The sequence below is a fragment of the Homo sapiens genome, chromosome 16 (assembly GCF_000001405.40).
Source record: "Homo sapiens chromosome 16, GRCh38.p14 Primary Assembly".
NCBI lineage: Eukaryota > Metazoa > Chordata > Mammalia > Primates > Hominidae > Homo > Homo sapiens.
The window spans coordinates 67105918-67123960 of record NC_000016.10 but is presented as its reverse complement, the minus strand read 5'-3'; the positions used below and the strand labels follow the sequence as shown (position 1 = coordinate 67123960).

The 18043-nt window shown below is 47.5% G+C and overlaps 1 protein-coding gene across 13 annotated transcripts in view, besides 3 other annotated features; it reads right to left on the bottom strand.

The window, feature by feature from the left end:
* The window catches only part of PHAF1 (phagophore assembly factor 1), a 38604-nt gene extending 24584 nt beyond the window's left edge, over positions 1-14020 (bottom strand). For 5 of the 13 annotated variants that reach the window (XM_006721284.4, NM_001320541.2, NM_001320543.2 and 2 more), the window contains exons 1-3: positions 13957-14020; positions 13722-13842; positions 3767-3849 (exon numbers count right to left, since the gene is read on the bottom strand). In XM_006721284.4, the coding sequence (XP_006721347.1) occupies positions 3767-3849; positions 13722-13785 (147 nt within the window). In that variant the 5' untranslated portion in view covers positions 13786-13842; positions 13957-14020. Of the gene's footprint in view, positions 1-3766; positions 3850-12400; positions 12523-13721 lie in introns of those variants that run through there. The other 8 variants (XM_017023729.2, NM_001320542.2, XM_017023731.2 and 5 more) reach the window with 4 other exon arrangements.
* Positions 13704-14445: an enhancer, noted in NCBI's record as "H3K27ac-H3K4me1 hESC enhancer chr16:67143419-67144160 (GRCh37/hg19 assembly coordinates)". NCBI's record gives its function as "activates a minimal SCP1, AML or CMV promoter by ChIP-STARR-seq in naive H9 embryonic stem cells {active_cell/tissue: H9 hESC(naive)}" and the evidence as "EXISTENCE:reporter gene assay evidence [ECO:0000049][PMID:30033119]".
* Positions 13885-14144: a silencer, noted in NCBI's record as "silent region_7579". NCBI's record gives its function as "represses an Ori minimal core promoter by ATAC-STARR-seq in GM12878 lymphoblastoid cells {active_cell/tissue: GM12878}" and the evidence as "EXISTENCE:reporter gene assay evidence [ECO:0000049][PMID:35858748]".
* Positions 14446-15188: an enhancer, noted in NCBI's record as "H3K27ac-H3K4me1 hESC enhancer chr16:67142676-67143418 (GRCh37/hg19 assembly coordinates)". NCBI's record gives its function as "activates a minimal SCP1, AML or CMV promoter by ChIP-STARR-seq in naive H9 embryonic stem cells {active_cell/tissue: H9 hESC(naive)}" and the evidence as "EXISTENCE:reporter gene assay evidence [ECO:0000049][PMID:30033119]".

Here is an 18043-nt window from a genome sequence, read left to right as displayed (position 1 = left end):
ACCTAGCTGTCCTTCACATGAAGCAGTTCAGTAAAATCATCTGCTACTAGTTGTTAATATCTTTTCCCTCTAAGAAAGATGGGACGTACTTGACATTTCATTTCCAAGGTGTGATTTGCATAGAGACAAGAACATATTTCTGAAATGTTTAATGCAGACAAAATGTTTTCTGCATTTGGGAAACAAAGAGACAAATGGGTAAGGAAGGGAATAAAGTAGGCAGAAGAAGAGGACAGGACCCAAATTTAAGAAGCATCACATTGGCTGGGTGCGGTGGTTCATGCCAGCACTTTGGGAGGTCGTGGCAGGCGGAATGCTTAAAGCCAGGAGTTTGAGACCAGTCTGGGCAAATATAATGAGACCCTGTCTCTACAAAAAAATTTTTTTTGAGATGGAGTCTCACTCTGTTGCCTAGGAGCGCAGTGGCACGATCTTGGCTCACTGCAACCTCCGCCTCTCAGGTTCAAGTGATTCTCCTGCTCCAGCCTCCCCAGTAGCTGGGATTACAGGTATGCACCACCACACCTGGCTAATTTTTGTACTTTTAGTAAAGACGGGGTTTCACCATGTTGGCCAGGCTGGTCTCGAACTCCTGACCTGAAGTGATCTGCCCGTCTCGGCCTCCTAAACTGCTGGGATTAAAGGCATGAGCCACTGCACCTGGCCAAATTTTTTTTTTTTAATAGCCAGATGTGGTGGCATACACCTGTGGTCCCAGCTACCCAGGAGGCTGAGGTGGGAGGACGGCTGGAGCCCAGGAGTGGCAAAACTAAAGGAGGAAGGGTAGGGGAGGTTCCAGTGAGCCATGATCATGCCACTGCACTCCAGAATTGGTGACAGAGCAAGATGCTGCTTCAAAAAAAAAAAAAAAAGCATCAGATCAGAGTTCTGAGAGACCATCTCCTTTTGATCCTCATCCAAAGATTATCCTAGGCTGGGTGTGGTGGCTCATGCTTGTAATCCGAGCACTTTGGGAGGACAAGACGGGCGGATCACTTGAGGTCAGGAGTTTGAGATCAGCCTGGCCAACATGGTGAAACCCCATCTCTGCTAAAAATACAAAAATTAGCCAGGCATGGTGGCATGTGCCTGTAATCGCAGGTACTTGGGAGGCTGAGGCAGGAGAATCGGTTGAGCCTGGGAGGTGGAAGTTGCAGTGAGCCAAGATCGTGCCACTGTACCCCAGCCTGGGTGACGGAGCAAGACTCTGTCTCAGAAACAAATAAACAAACCCAAAGATTATTCTATTATCAAGAAACTATACTGTTTTACATAAAGATAACCAGATTACTTATTAATATGCCACAACTCTCATGAATTAGAAATGAGAAAAGCAGAGATCTAAATCAGGATTCAGACTCAAAAACCCATTTTTTTTTTTTTTTTTTTTGAGACAGGGTCTTGCTCTGTCACCTAGGCTGAAGTGCAGTGATACAATCATACCTCACTGCTCATGATCCTCCCACCTCAGCCTCCTGAATAGCCAGGATTACAGGTGTGTGCCACCACTCCAGGTTAATTTTTTATTTTATGTTGCCCTGGCTGGTCTCGAACTCTTGGACTCAAGCAATCTTCCTGCCTCGGCCCTCCCGAAGTGTTGGGGTTAGTGGTGTGAGCCACAGTGCCTGGTCAAACCCATATTTGCTAATGTGTTAAAGTTGCTCAGAAGATATTGGGGAAAATCAGCTTAATGCTAACACTGTTTATACCCAAATACTGGAATAACAGACAATGATGATGGTGATATAAGAAATACATTTTGGCCGGTCACGGTGGCTCACGCCTGTAATCCCAGCACTTTGGGAGGCTGAGGTGGGAGGATCACTTGAGTCCAGGAGTTTGAGACCAGCCTGAAAAACACAGTGAGACCCCATCTCTACAAAATATAAAAATAAATTAGCCAGGCCTGGTGGCATGAACCTGTGGTCCCAGCTACTCAGGAGACTGAGGTGGGAGGATCACTTGAGCCTAGGGGATTGAGGCTGCAGTGAGTTGTGATCATGTCACTACACTCTAGTCTGGATGACAAAGCAAGATACTGTCTCAAAAAAACTAAAATAAATTTTCTTAAAAGTTAAATAGGCCAAGCCTGGTGGCTCACGTCTGTAATCCCAGTACTTTGGGAGGCCGAGGCCGGTGGATCACCTGAGGTCAGGAGTTCGAGACCAGCCTGACCAACACGGAGAAACCCTGTCTCTACTAAAAATACAAAATTAGCTGGGAGTGGTGGTACATGCCTGTAACCCCAGCTACTCGGGAGGCTGAGGCAGGAGAATCGCTTGAACTCGGGAGGCGCAGGTTGAGGTGAGCCGAGATTGCACCATTGCACTCCAGTTTGCGCAACAACAGCAAAACTCTGTCTCAAAAAAAAAAAAAAAGTAAATAAATTAATTTAATTAACGAGAATCCACTTTGGCACTGATAATCCATGGTGGTTTAAGAAACCCCTGCCCACTCTTGGCCAGGCACGGTGGCTCACGCTTGTAATCCCAGCACTCTGGGAGGTCGAGGCGGGCAGATCACGAGGTCAGGAGATCGAGACCATCCTGGCTAATGGGGTGAAAACCTGTCTCTACTAAAAATACAAAAAAAAAAAAAAAAATTAGCTGGGTGTGGTGGTGGGCGCCTGTAGTCCCAGCTACTCGGGAGGCTGAGGCAGGAGAATGGCGGGTGAACCCAGGAGGCGGAGCCTGCAGTGAGCCGAGATTGTGCCACTGCACTCTAGCCTAGGCGACAGAGCGAGACTCCATCTCAAAAAAAAAAAAAGAAACCCCTGCCCACTCCTACAAGTCCCCTGTTCTGTCATAGGCACCACATGCCCACTCCTACAAGTCTCCTGTTCTGTCATAGGCACCACATGAATACTCAAGCACTTGCTTGGAGATTAAGCATGTCTTCTATCAGATCCCTCAAATGAGGGTCTCACTAGGCTGGTAGAGGGGTACAACATGGCAGAATGTAATCTCTGGGTATAGGTAACAGGCCCAATTCTGACTGTGCTCCAAGTCAAACTGAGAAGCCTCTCAGAAATTTTGCCTACCTACAATTTACAACATTCTTCATGTCAGAAATAAGCTGTCATTTGCTTTAGGATCTGAAACTAATTGGAACTGAAATAATCAAACTAGTACTCAAAGGGTCTCAGAAAAGTCACTGGGGACATCCTTTAGCCTCTGTAGGCTCAAAACTATTCCCTGAGGCTTGTGACACACAGGACACCACAAAGGCTGTTCAACATGGCAGCACATGGTCTGTGTCACAGAACTGCAGGTTTCAGAGAATTCAGTGGTGGGAAGATTGCTCTTTGAGAGAGATAAAGGGGTGAATTATATCTGTTTCCTTTCAAATCTGGTATGCCGTGCTAGCTAGAGATCTGCACTGCAAAAATCCTGAACACAAACTAACCAACAAAAGCAGAAAAGACAATTTTAAACACGGAAGTGGAAGGTAAGCACTCTAAAAGACCAGAGACAGCCTCTGAAGCGACCTACCACTGAAAAGTCCCTGTTTAAGGGCCTGTAGGCAAGTTGAGCACAGACAAAACAAAGGTTCAATTACTACCGCTCTTCCAAACCTAGCTGTACTAGATAATCAAGAGCAGAAGTTTCAGAATCAAAGAAAAGGTACTTGATAACTGGCTGGTGCTAGAGATTCTCCCATTCGAACACAGCTATCCTTGCCAGTCAGCCTATCCCAAAGCATCAGCTCTGGAAGTGACTCACTACCGAGGGATGCTATTTCAATAAACAAATCAGCCACCACTCACCTGTTCACTGTAGAGAACCTGGACGTTTTTGATGATGCGACAGTGCTTCTGAAGAATGGCTACTGCCTGAGCCAGAGGCATTCCTGAAATAAAGCAAGACACCTATGTGGTTATTTTGGCTATCCATCTATTGACATCTACCACTTCACTAGGCACTGGTCCCTGCAGTAAAGCCTGGGGATGTTTGGGGGCTACTAAGGTCTACAGATACATGAGTAAATAAGAGTTCAATAAGCAGTAAGAGCTACAATAATGTTAAGCAGCAAGCACTAAGAGAATACTTGGACGGTGCACAGGTGTCCAACTCTTTGAATGCAAGGACTCTTTTGCTTATCTGTGGTGGTGGATATCACAAAAATCATGCATGGGCCGGGCGTGGTGGCTTATGCCTGCAATCCCAGCACTTTCGGAGGCCAAGGTGGGAGGATCACTTGAGGTCAGGCATTTGAAACCAGCCTAGCTAACATGGTAAAACTCTGACTCTACTAAAAAAAAAAAAAAAAAAAAATTAGCCAGGCGAGGTGGCTGCCCTTGTAGTCCCAGCTACCCGGGAGGCTGAGGCAGGAGAAATGCTTGAACCCAGGAGGCGGAGGTTGCAGTGAGCCAAGATCACGCCACTGCACTCGGCCTGGGCAACAGAGCAAAACTCTGTCTATAAAAAAAAAAAAAAAAGATGCGTATGATGCATGGACCCTTTTTACATTTTTATTTTTTTTAAGCTCATTAACTATCATTAGTGTTAGTCTATTTTATGTGTGGCTCAAGACAATTCTTCTTCCAATGTGGCCCAGGGAAGCCAAAAGGTTGGACATGCATGGAAGGGGATGGGAGGCAGTGAATATACAAAAAGTCTTCCTGGAAACAGGGACCTCCACACTGATCTGACACAGACAAGCGCTCAGAGAAAGCAAAGTAAGTATGAATCAAAGAACCAAGCAAGAAAAGCACTGACTGCATAATTCTGCAGACCCAGGTTTTGGTCCTCACTCTGCCATGGCTTAGATATGACCTGAGATAGGTCCTTTCTCTTCCTTTCTGGCACCTGTCTCTGCATCTCTGAAATGAAGGCCTATTAGAGTACATGACTTATAAGGAACAATTTTAAAAGTTTAAAATCAGGACTGGGTGTGGTGGCTCATGCCTGTAATCCCAACACTTTGGGAGGGCAGGGCAGGAGGATCGCCTGAGGCCAGGAATTTAAGACCAGCCTGGGAATATAGTAAGATCCTGTCTCTACAAAAAGTAAAAAAATTAGCTGGGCATGGTGGGATATGCCGGGACTACTCTAGGTCCTGGGGTGGCTAAGGTGAGAGGATTGCTTCGGCCCAGGAGGTTGATCCTGCAGTGAGCCATGATAAGTGCTACTGTGCTCCCGCCTGGGTGACAGACAAGACCCTATCTCAAAAAAAAAAAAAAAAAAAAAAAAAAGTTTAAGATCACTCATCCACCAGAATCAATGAATCAACTTATTTTACCAAGGATTTCACTGGATTTTTACTTAAAATCCCACAAATATCTAGTTCTTTTTATTTTTTATTTAATTTAAAAATAGCGACAAGGGGCCAGGCCCGGTGGCTCACACCTGTAATCCCAGCACTTTGGGAGGCCGAGATGGGCAGATCATCAGGTTAGAAGTTCAAGACCAACCTAGCCAACGTGGTGAAACCCTGTCTCCATTAAAAATGCAAAAATTAGCCAGGCATGGTGGCACACACCTGTAGTCCCAGCTACTCTGGAGGCTGAGGCAGGAGAACTGCTTGAACTCAGGAGGCAGAGGTTGTAGTGAACCGAGATAGCGCCACTGCACTCCAGCCTGGGAGACAGAGCAAGACTCTGTCTCAAAAAAAAAAAAAAAAAAAAAAAGCAACAGGGGCAGGGTACGGTGGCTCATGCCTATTAAAATACAAAAAAATTAGCTAGGCAGCCAGGTGCAGTGGCTCACGTCCGTAATCCCAGCACTTTGGGAGGCCGAGGAGGGCAGATCACGAGGTCAGGAGATCGAGACCATCCTGGCTAACATGGTGAAAGCCCATCTCTACTAAAAAAGAAAAAAAAAAAAAAAAAAAAAAAATTAGCCGGGCGTGGTGGCGGGCGCCTGTAGTCCCATAGTTACTTGGGAGGCTGAGACAGGAGAATGGCATGAACCTGGGAGGTGGAGCTTGCAGGGAGCCAAGATTGCGCCACTGCACTCCAGCCCGGGCTACAGAGCGAGACTCTATCTCAAAAAAAAAAAAAAAAATCAGCCAGGCATGATGGTGTGCCCCTGTCATCCCAGCTACTCAGGAGGCTGAGGTGAAAGGATGGCTTGAGCTTGGGAGGTGGAGGCTGCACTCTGGCCTGGGTGACAGAGCCAGGTGCTGTCTCAGGAGGAAAAAAAAAAAAAAAGCAACAGGGCGAGGCATTCCTGAATATCTCTTTTTTTTTTTTTGAGACGCAGTCTGAAGTCTCGCTCTGTTGTCCAGGCTGGAGTGCAATGGTGCGATTTCCGCTCACTGCAAGCTCCGCCTCCTGGGTTCACGCCATTCTCCTGCCTCAGACCACAGGCTCCCGCCACCACGCCTGGCTAATTTTTTGTATTTTTTAGTAGAGACAGGGTTTCACCATGTAAGCCAGGATGGTCTCGATCTCCTGACCTCGTGATCCACCGCCTCGGCCTCCCAAAGTGCTGGGATTACAGGCATGAGCCACTGTGCCCGGCCTGAATATCTAACTCTTAACACTTGGTTCTTTAACTCATGGCCCATTATAAGCAGATTTACATATGCCTCCAGTTTAAGTAATCCAAATTCCAATGACATCTCCAACAGTCTAAGGACTCACTGAGACCACCAAAAAGTTTGTTTCCAGGCTGGGCGCGGTGGCTCACACCTGTAATCCCAGCACTTTGGGAGGCCGAGGCAGGCGGATCACGAGGTCAGGAGTTTGAGACCAGCCTGGCCGGCTTGGTGAAACCCTGTCTCCACTAAAAATACAAAAAAAAAAAAAAAAAAAAAAATTAGCTGGGCATGGTGGTGTGTGCCTGTAGTCCCAGCTACTCAGGAAGCTGAGTCAGGAGAATTGCTTAAACCTGGCAGGCAGAAGTTGCAGTGAGCTGAGATCGTGCCACTGCGCTCCAACTTTGGCGACAGAGTGACACTCCGTCTCAAAAAAAAAAGTTTGTTTCCAGAGTCCATTATAATTTAAACAAGAAGAAACACACATAGAGACAGGTCCTGGGCAATCAAAAAACAAAGACTCATAGTTTAATGAATACAAAAACAATGTATCTGCTGTTCACCACTCTCTGGATCCCTTGTACCCTGCTCAGAGCTAACCACCCAGTGACTGGTTTTGTTTTGTTTTTTTGAGACACAATCTCACTGTGTCACCCAGGCTGGAGTGTAGTGGTGCAATCTTGGCTCACTGAAACCTCTGTCTCCCAGGCTCAAGAGATACTCCCACCTCAGTCTCCTGAGTAGCTGGGACTACAGGCATGTGCCACCACAACTGGCTAACTTTTAAATTTTTGGTAGAGACTAGGTCTCACTGTGTTGCCCAGACTGGTCTTGAACTCCTGGGCTCATGTAATCCTCCCACCTCCGCTTTCTAAAGTGCTAGAATTACAGGTGTGAGCCACCGCACGTGGCCAATACAGTGACTATTGAATAAATATTTACTGAGTGGGACTGATGGATTGTAGAGTGGGTGACAAGAGAAAGGAAGGAAAAGGGACCATGGCTTCATCCGATGGCAGTCAGTTCACATTTAAATCAGTTGGCCTCCAGGTCAAAGAGATGCGATATGCAAAAAAGAGCTGACAAATGAAGAATTAATTAGAAGGTAAAAAGCTCATGGCTCATCTACATTTAAACAATCTGATTCTACCCTCATCTGAGAGGCCATTCTTCAGTCTGAAGAAAGTTGAAGGCAATCATCACAAGGCTGACTTATAATCTTTAAAAAAGCACTTTTCAGCCTTCCATAGCATAAAACCTGGCCCACAGTAGGGACTCAATAAATGTTTGAGAATATGAACAAGCTGGATGCATCCCTCACCTTTGCCATTCCTAAATGGAGGAACATCTATGCTGTCATTCCCAGGAGGAATGGACAAACATCCACGTGCAGAAGACAGAGAAACTCAGTTAGTTAGATGTCAAGAAAGAGGAAGGCCGCATGGCTTCTCTGATCCACGTGGCACATGCCAGTTTCTTTTTCTTTTTTTCAAAGAGACGGGGTCTTGCTATGCCACCCAGGCTGGCCTCAAACTCCTGAGCTCAAGCTATCCTCCCGTCTCGGCCTCCCAAAATGCTGGGATTATAGACATGAGCCACCGCTCCCAGCCCATGCCAGTTTCTTGAGGGAGGATTCCATTTACCACATCAAAGGATGTCTCAGCATCTTAGGATCTTAGGATCCTGAGTCACCCAGGGAGAAACTCACCCAGAGGAGACGAAGCAGCCATGGTGACTGGTCATCACACAGCTACTGGTAAAGGAGGGCTACGAAAGATCTCTAAAGGGAACTAACTATATGAATGGCAAAGAAACAGGAGCACTATCCCAGCTCTAACAGAATGGTCAGCCTTCTAAACCGCACAAATCTTTGTCTCACAGATCTCAGCACTTGCCTGCTTATAACCTCTCAATGGCTTCCCATTGCAGGCAGATAAAACCCAAACACCATGTCATCACCAAAGGCCCTGAATATTCTGGATCTTACCCATCTATATCTTCTTTCCACTGTTCACCCTTTGTTACTTGCACACGTCAAGCTCCTTCTCACCTCAGGCTTCTGAATTAGCTCTTGTTGCTGCTGGAATCTGGAATGCTCTACCCAAAGCTGCCTCTTGTTCGCACTTTAGGTCTTGGTCACACCTCACTTCCCTCACTGCCTTATTCAATGAAGCCTCTCATACCATTTATTTATCTGTTAGTCTCCCTTATATCCTCACAGAGGTAGGACCTTGTCTGTCTTGTTCACCTCAATACCTCCCAGCACCCAATCACTGTGCCTGGCACAGCTGTAGGTGGTCATGCACATCTGTGAAACAAAGCAATTAGGTAGAACACTTAGGTCCTATACCACGAATCCTGTTGACCACCCTCCTTCTCTTGAACTCCTATTGTCTCTCCACCAATACTACTCTCCTCTAACTTTTCCAAGTCTCTCCAATAGGCTATGTTTCTTCTGCTCATCCCTGGTTCAACTAACCACCCAGTTTCTGACTCATATCTCCATCTGTTTTCTGTATACATCTAAAGGCAAATAAAAGCCAACAGATTAAAAGTGATCTTTTCATCTTCTCTGTATTCTAGGTCTCAATATCTATGTCCAACATCATACAGAGTTTCTCAAGTCAGAAACCTCTAGATTCCTCCTTCTTCCCCACCTCTCCAAATCCAGTTCTTCCTAAACGAAAGCCCACAATACACTTCACTAATACATATCCTTTTTTCCACAGATTTGCACAGATTCCAACACAAAGTATCCTTGATAGTATCCCAGGCAGCTATAACCAAACAGAATTGGGACTCTGGGAAATCCATTTTCTTCTTCTACCAGTACATCATGCTCTAATTATAATACCAAATTGCTTATAGTTCCCTGCACACATCATCTACCTTTTCTCCTGTGGTTTTTTTTTTTTTTCTTCTTTCATTCGACTGGAAGATTTCCAGCTCCTGTTGTTTGGCAGGAAGCCTTCTCTGAACCCCTAGGTCAGGTCAAGTCCCTTCTTCTTCCCCTCCACAGTACCCTATACATCTTCTACTTGATTATAATAAAAGGAACTATTTCTATAATCCCTCTCTATCACTAGACTAAGCTCTTCAGGGAATAAGATCATTTCTTTTTTTTTAAATTTTTATTTATTTATTTTTTATTTAAATAGAGACAGGGTCTCACTATGTTACCTAGGCTGGTCTCAAACTCTTGGCTCAAGTGATCCCCTCACCTCAGCCTCCCAAAGTACAAGCATGAGTCACTGTGCACTGTTTATTTTCAATGTTTGTGAGCAGAGTTCACAGAGGTAGATGATGCCTTCAACACAGTGAGCCTTCAGTCTCTGTGGAACAAGGTAATCTCGGAGAAGGTATTTTCTTCACTGACCCTTTAAATCTACCTTTTTTAGTCCCTTTCAAGACTAATTTCAAAAACAAATTCAGAGACTTGCCTCTGCATCAATACATTCTGCAACTCTCATTGAAAACATTTCAGGGCCCGGCACAAATGCTCATGCCTCCCAGCACTTTGGGAGCCGAGACGGGAGGATCACTTGAAGTCAGGAGTTCGAGACCAGCCTGGTCAACATCGTGAAACCCCATCTCTACTAAAAGTAAAAAATTACCTGGTGTGCGCAAGCCTATAATCGCAAGAGGCAGAAGTTGCAGTGAGCCAAGATCACGCCACTGCACTCCAGCCTGGGCGACAGAGTAAGACTCTGTCTCAAAAAAAAAAAAAAAAGAGGCTGGGTGCGGTGGCTCACGCCTGTAATCCCAGCACTTTGGGAGGCCGAGGTGGGCGGATCACGACGTCAGGAGATCAAGACCATCCTGGCTAACACGGTGAAACCCTGTCTCTGCTAAAAATACAAAAAATTAGCTGGGCGTGGTGGCGGGCGCCTGTAGTCCCAGCTACTTGGGAGGCTGAGGCAGAAGAATGGCATGAACCTGGGAGGTGGAGCTTGCAGTGAGCCAAAATCACGCTACTGCACTCTAGCCTGGGCAACAGAGTGAGACACCGTCTCAAAAAAAAAAAAAAAAGAAAAAGAAAAAAAGAAAACAAAACATTTCAAATCTGCACTGCCTTTACTCCACTGCTGGTCAAATCATCAGTGACATTCATATTCACAGAGATTCTGCTTGGCCTAGGTTTTCCTTTCCCTGTGTTGCTCGCATTTCCCTAATCATCCAACATTATACAACCAGGAAGGCAGCCAAGGAGCTGCCAGGATGCAGCTTCCCATTGTGATGCCAGGCAGATAATTGCATCTGCATTTGCACAGATTCCAATAAGAAACCTGGTGACAAAGTTGAGTCCACTTTCAGAAGGAAAGAGCAGTGGCATGCAGGATATGCCTGTTTGGCGACTTTTGTTTATCATCTCTCTCTCTGAGCCTGTCCCTCACCTGGCAAAAAGAGATAACAACACCTATCTTACAAGCCTGTGGTGGCAAGAGGTAAGTTCTTCCTGGTTCACTAGCCTAGGCATGTAATTCTAAAGCAGATTCCCTTCCGAGACCTATCCCTACCTAACAGCCCCAAATGTAGTTTGGACGTGTTCAGGGTGGGGGAGGAGATTGACAGAGGTGGAAAATGACTTTCCATTTTTAAAGTCTGATAAAGTTAAATTAACACCATCTCTCAGGCAGACACCATGTAAAAATGAATTTTAAGACCCAAGGGAATCATGAAGCCTCTGGGCCAGTCTATGAGCTTCCCCCTAAAATTCAATTCTTGACCCAATATACAGAAATGCCCTTCTCACTGTTTTTGGTTGCTATTTAGACAGTTTGTAAGAACTGTGTAAACCCTTGATTCCTGGGAAACTAGCAGAGCTAGGAGTCAGGGTTAGGGTATCAAAACAACAGCTGAGAGAAGCCTTGCTCTCTCACTCAGTTTTCTGGAAATCCTCATCTCAATTAATATCCTAGTAACTACTTTTTTTTTTTGTCTCCTTGAGACAGGGTCTCTCTCTGTCACCCAGGATCACGCCCAGTGGTGTGATCATGACCCACGGCAGCCTTGACCTCCCAGCCTCAAGTGATCCTTCCATCTCAGCCTCCCGAGTAGTTAAGACTACAGGCCTGGCTTTTTTTTTTTTTTTTTTTTTTGGTAGAAACGAGGTCTCACTATGTTGCCTAGGCTGGTCTTGAACTCCTGGCTTCAAGCTATCCTCCTGTCTCAGCTTCCCAAAGTGTTGGGATTACAGCCATGAGTTACTGCACCCAGTCCCTACCACTGCTTTTGACCAAGGGACTCTGAATACTTGTACCACCAAGAGATCCACAACCTAGTCACACTACTAAGCACAGTTTGAAGCTATGGTTGTGGTTTTTATCCAGCCGTGGGAGGATCTTGCTTGGGTAGAAGCTGTCAAGGAGAGGGGAGGAAAGGAGTTAACCAGAAGCCAAACAGCATTAGCATGGTATCACCAGCCTTCCAACCAAGCTCTTAGTGCTTCACGAGAGAATGGAGCATTTTGTACCAGCTAATATTTTGGAAAGAACTCTGCAGGAGTGGTGTTAAGTTATGAAAGAATTTGGCCAACTCCCCTAAATTAAACCGGCTTTTATGGTTGGGCATGGTGGCTCACACCTGTAATCCTAGCACTTTGGGAGGCCAAGGCGGATCACTTGAAGTCAGGAGTTCGAGACCAGCCTAGCCAACATGGCGAAACCCAATCTCTACTAAAAATACAAAAATTAGCCGGGTGTGGTGGCAGACGCCTGTAATCCCAGCTACTAGTAGGGAGGCTGAGGCAAGAGAATTGCTTGAACCCGGGAGGCAGAGGTTGCAGTGAGCCGATATTGTGCCACTGCACTCCAACCTGGGCAACAGAGTGACTCTGTCTTAAAACAAAACACCAACAACAAAAACTAGCTCTTACAACACACAGGACATATGTAGCCACTAAGCATCAGCAGGGCCTTACCAGCAATCTGTACCACCTGGTTTCTCCAACACACTGTCTCCACAGACATAAGTCTTCCAGAGTCAAGGATAATTTATAATCCAATGGAGCAGCTGATTTAGTCCAGTAGCTCACACTAGAGTGACTAAAGTTCAGGCCTGCACAAACAAACAGCACCAACACCTACCCCACCCCCTTTTCTTAGTGCTGGGACATCAAAGTAAACACACAGGGGTTACTGAATGCAAACATCCTTGTACACATAAAAGTAGTGATGCTGGAAATGGAGAGGGTGAAGGGAGAAGGCTGGGCCAGCAAACCCCAAAACGACCAAACTGCATTTTTTAGAAACTAAATGTTACTTCTCCCTAACTCCTATTTCATCCAACCTTCACCTGTCACAACTGAGGTCTGGGTTTAGGATTACAGCATCCGATACAGACTATATTTCAAAAGAGAGAGAAGCGGGGCCGGGTGCAGTGGCTCACGCCTGTAATCCCAGCACTTTGGGAGGCCGAGGTGGGCGGATCACGAGGTCAGGAATTCGAAACCAGCCAGCCTGGTCAACATGGTGAAACCTCGTCTCTACTAAAAATACAAAAATTAGCCGGGTGTGGTGGCGCGTGCCTGTAATCCTAGCTACTGGGGAGGCTGAGGCAGGAGAATCGCTTAAACCCACGAGGCGTTAAGTTGCAGTGAGCCAAGATCACGCAACAGCACTCCAGCCTGGGCGACAGAGCGAGACTTCGTCTCAAAAAAAAAGAAAAAAAAGAGAGAAGCAAGTCAGCTGTTCCTTTAATACACACAAACTCAACTCCCTTGACCAGAGCCCCAACATCTGATCATGGGTTCCAAGCCTAGGTTTCCCCTCCTAAAAAGGGGAAGGAAGCCACAGCCCAGAAAAGCAGTGGGAGACAGACCACAGGCCACAGTGATGATCAGAGGGGTCAGCCACTTCTCAGCCATTATTTAGTCTGTAAAATGGAAATGGGAATAACAACAGTACCTATCCTCAGGTGCCGGCGAGGGGTACTAGAGAGAATTACGTCCAAAAAGAGCAGGGCCGGGCATTAGGCATTTGGGGAGAGCAAGCTATTATTGTCTTTACTACTACTGTTCCACCGTCCCAGAAGAGACCCTGCTGAGACCCGAGACGAGCAACTGACAGGCAAATCGGGCCAGTTGGAGCGGGTATCTAGTGCCTGGAGCCCAGCGAGCCGAGAGGACGAAAGAGGTGAGGAGCTGCGGGCGCAGGGGCGTGAGAGACTGAGAACAGGTGGGAAGAGCCCAGGAGAAAGCAAGGATCAGCGAATGGGGTCCTGACAGAGGACCCCAAACTCACCCAGCGTGAATTCCCATTGCTCGTTCCCCAGAGAGCGTTCGGGCACTACCTCCAGGTCCAGCATTGGTTCGGCTCGCCTGGCCCGGGCGGCCTCCCTGCGGCAGCGCAGAAGGGACCCGAGCTAAGGAGACAAAGCAGCGGCTGACAGGCCGCCCCCGCCGGCCCGCCACAGCCCCGCTTTCCACCTCCTCCCCGGCGGCAGCGGCAGCAGCACCGGCCCAACACCACACCTCACCTCACTTCACCTCACCTGCAGCAGCCGCGGCAGCGGGGGCAACGACGGCGGCGGGCGCGACTGCAGTAAAAGTGGCGTGCCGGGCCGTAAAGCGCGGGGAGGGCCGGGCGAAGGCGGGAGTGCCAGCGCGAGGGAGGAGCCTGGGGCGGAGCCGCGCACGCGCAAACTGCGGGTCCCGCCGCCGTCTCTGCGGAGGCTGAGTCGGGCAGGGCTGTAACGTTGGGAACTGTTCGGGCTCTAGGAGCAAGGAGCCCAGTACTTCGTGAGCCCCTACATCTGTGCACCACAGCACACACACTTCACATATCTACATAAAGAAGGGTTCACCACACAACACACACGTCACACAGCTGCACAAGACCCGTCTGCTGTCTACACACACGTCCCACTCACGTTCACTGGTAGCAGAAGGCAAGTACAGAGGGCACGCTGAGGCCCAGCAGGAGGGAGGACGCGGAGTCCCTAAGCCTCACGGCCCCCACCGTCTCCGTTGGGGCCGGAGGTGACGCTGGCCGCAGCAGCTTTTAGTTGTTCAGGAATGACGGCCCCACCCAGTCGCCCCTGGGGCAAGGGTCGAACCGTAAGCGAGTGAGGACTGTGGGCGTTAGGGGTCGGAATTGGTTCGGGGAGAGGACTGGGTAGAAGAGGAAGGGGCCAGGCCAGGCCTCCCTGCTGACCACATCCAAATGTGCGCAGTCCCCCGGGACCAGGATCCGAAGCCGCCGGCAGCAGCGTGGACCAAAGCTGTGGGGGTCTTGATCAACCCCTTGGCGCTTTCTGTGCCACAGTTTTCCTAATCTGCAAGGGACAGGAAGGTTCCTCTAGCAGGTTCAGCCTGAGGTTTTGGCCCGTGCCCCGGGACACCCTGAAACTAAAGGACAGCCGAGGCCTATGCTGATGCCAAGCCTTCACGGAGGCAGTCTCTGGGTTCTCACAACCAACCTGAGATGCGAGATTATACCGACTTTACATAGGCGAATACATGAGGCCCAGAGATGTTAAAGACCCAAGGCTCCTTGGTTCTAGGCGCAGAACCCAAGTCCTTTCCATTACATTGCCCCTGGAAGAAGGTTTTCAGTAGGGGAGAGAGTGGCATACTAAATTCTCAAACTGGCTTGATACTAGCGTTTCTTTGGAGGCTCTATCAAAATTTGAAGTCGCTGTTTGATTAAAATGAACTACATGGAGAAGGTTGTCCACTGCAGCATTGTATGCCAAAACAACAGAACTGGGTCACTGAGATGTCCAGTAGGGAAGTGGCTAAATAAACCGTGATATAGATAGATAGATAGATAGATGATAGATAGATAGATAGATAGATAGATAGATAGATAGATAGATAGAGATATGTTTTTAAAGGTGAATGCTGAGAGCAGTGCTCACAGCGGTAATACCAGCACTTTGGGAGGATGAGGTGGGAGGATCGGTTGAGCCCGGGAGTTGAGACCAGCCTGGGCAACATAGCAAGACCCAGTCTCTATTAAAAAAAAAAATTAGCTGGTGTCATGGCAGTAGGTTGGGCCAGGAGTCCTAGCTACTCAAGAGGCTGAGAGGTGGGAGGATAGCTTGAGGATAGCTGCAGTGAGCTGTGATTATTGAGCCCCGGGGCTCCAGCCTGGATGACAGAGCAAGATCCTGTCTCTAAATAAATAAATAAATAATAAAAAGTGAAGTAGGTCTCTATGTTGATGTGGAAGGAACTCCAAGAGAAAAAAGCCAGGTGCAGAAGTATGCATACCATGACCACCCACCACCCCCCTCCCCCGGCCTTTTTTTCTGTAAAAACAAAAATAAAAGAAACAGTGGCTGTACCAAAAAGAAAGAACATTTCTGGAAAAATAAAACATTGTCAATCATACCTAATAGAGTGGCAGAGGACAGGAATCAGGGGGTCATTATTCCTTATCATGACAAGCATTAAAGATATGTTTAGAAAAGCCTAGTTGGGCAGCTGGGCTAGATAGCTTGGGAAGGAAATCTGGGGAAAAATCTTAAGATTGGTGAGGAGCAATCTTAGTCAATTAAAAGTGTCTGGCTGGGCGCGGTGGCTCACGCCTGTAATCCCAGCACTTTGGGAGGCCGAGGCAGACAGATCACCTGAGGTCAGGAGTTTGAAACCACCCTGGCCAACATGGTGAAAACCCGTCTCTACTAAAAATAGAAAAAATAGCTAGGTGTGGTGGTGCATGCCTGCAGTCCCAGCTACTTGGGAGGCTGAGGCACGAGAATCACTTGAATCCAGGAGGTAGAGGTTGCAGTGAGCCAATTATCACCCCACTGCATGCCAGCCTGGGCAACAGAGCAAGACTCTCTCAAAACTTGGAGGGGACTTATTTCTGGAGGAGAAAGATGGGTGGGGCCTAAATTGGGGTGGGATAAGCCCAGTGGGGTTGTGGGATAAGCCCAGTGGGGTTGTACCAGAGGCAAGACAAAGAAGAAACCACATCATTCTGGATAACAAAGTGAAAAGGATTTCTAATTTGGGTAACCCCCAAACAGAAAGAACAAAGTTGTCGGGGAGCGCCCTAAGAAATTCCCTGTTGGAATAGTAGGCAGATTTCTGTGAACAATGTTAGTCAACAACAAAAGTTTATCTGGCCAGGTGTGGTAACTCATGCCTATAATCTCAGCACTTTGGGAGGCTGAAGTGGGAGGATTGCTTGAGGCCAGGAGCTTGAGACCAGCCTGGGCAATATAGCAAGACCCCGTACACACACACACACACACACACACACACACACACACACACACACACGCCAGATGTGGTGGCACATGCAGGTAGTCCCAGCTACCCAGGAGGCTCAGGTGGGAAGACCACTTAAGCCTGGGAGTTTTGTTGTTGTTGTTGTTGTTGCTTTTTGTTTTTGTTTTTGAGACGGAGTCTCGCACTCTCGCCCAGGCTGGGGTGCAGTGGCGCCGTGGCGCCATCTTGGCTCACTGCAAGCTCCGCCTCTCGGATTCACGCCATTCTCCTGCCTCAGCCTCTCGAGTAGCTGGGACTACAGGGGCCCGCCACCACGCCCGGCTAATTTTTTGTATTTTTAGTAGAGACGGGGCTTCACAGTGTTAGCCAGGATGGTCTTGATCTCCTGACCTTGTGATCTGCCCGCCTCGGCCTCCCAAAGTGTTGGGATTACAGGCGTGAGCCACCGCGCCCGGCCGAGCTTGGGAGTTTGAGGCTGCAGTGAGCTATGTACTGCACTCCAGTACAGCCTAGGCAACAAAAGAATGAGACTGTATCTCTAAAAAAATAAACAGAAGTTTATCTTTGCTCATTTAATGTTGATTCACCCAGGTTTTTATCCAAGGTGGGAATAACAGCTTTGGGATGGTGATATTAGGAGGCCTTGGCCCAGAGCCCAATACACACACACACAATAGAAGCAGAAGGTGCCTGGCAGGAGCAGGCCAACTCAGGAGAATGTCAGCTACAGCCATTCCCCCAAACTGAGGGTAGGGATGTTCAGAAATATGGAATTGGCTAATGAAAAGCATATTCAGGGAGGGCAAGTAGTCATGGTAGCAGTCAAAGCCAGACATGCAGGGACAGCTTCAGGTCAGAACATGGTGATTAAGCTCAGGGACTCAAAATTTGAATCCCAGTTCTGCCACTTAATAGCTTTGTGCCTTGACAAGTTAATTAGCCTCTCCATGCCTTAGTTTCTTCTGTAAAATCTGTAACAATCTCACAGATTTGTTAGGAGGTCTGTACTTGTGTGTCTGGCTTACAGGTAATTGCTTTGTGTATAACTAAAATTTTAAAACATCTAATAGTAACAGAATTGATGGAATCCACTGGCAGGATTTACAGATTGCATGTGGGAGATGAGAGAGACTGGGAGTCAAGAATAACGACATAGTTTTCCCAGCTTGGGTAGCTGGAAGGACGGTGATTGGAGGAACTGACATTGGCGTTTGGAAGGATGTCAATCCTTCTGGTAAAACTGTCACGTGATAACTTGGAAGGGAAGAAATGTAACAAGCTTGAAACATTACTTGAAGAACTTGGAAAACAATCTTAGTACCATGGTTATTTATTAATTGCATTTGCCAAGTTATTTTTTTTTCTTTTTTTTTTTTGAGACGG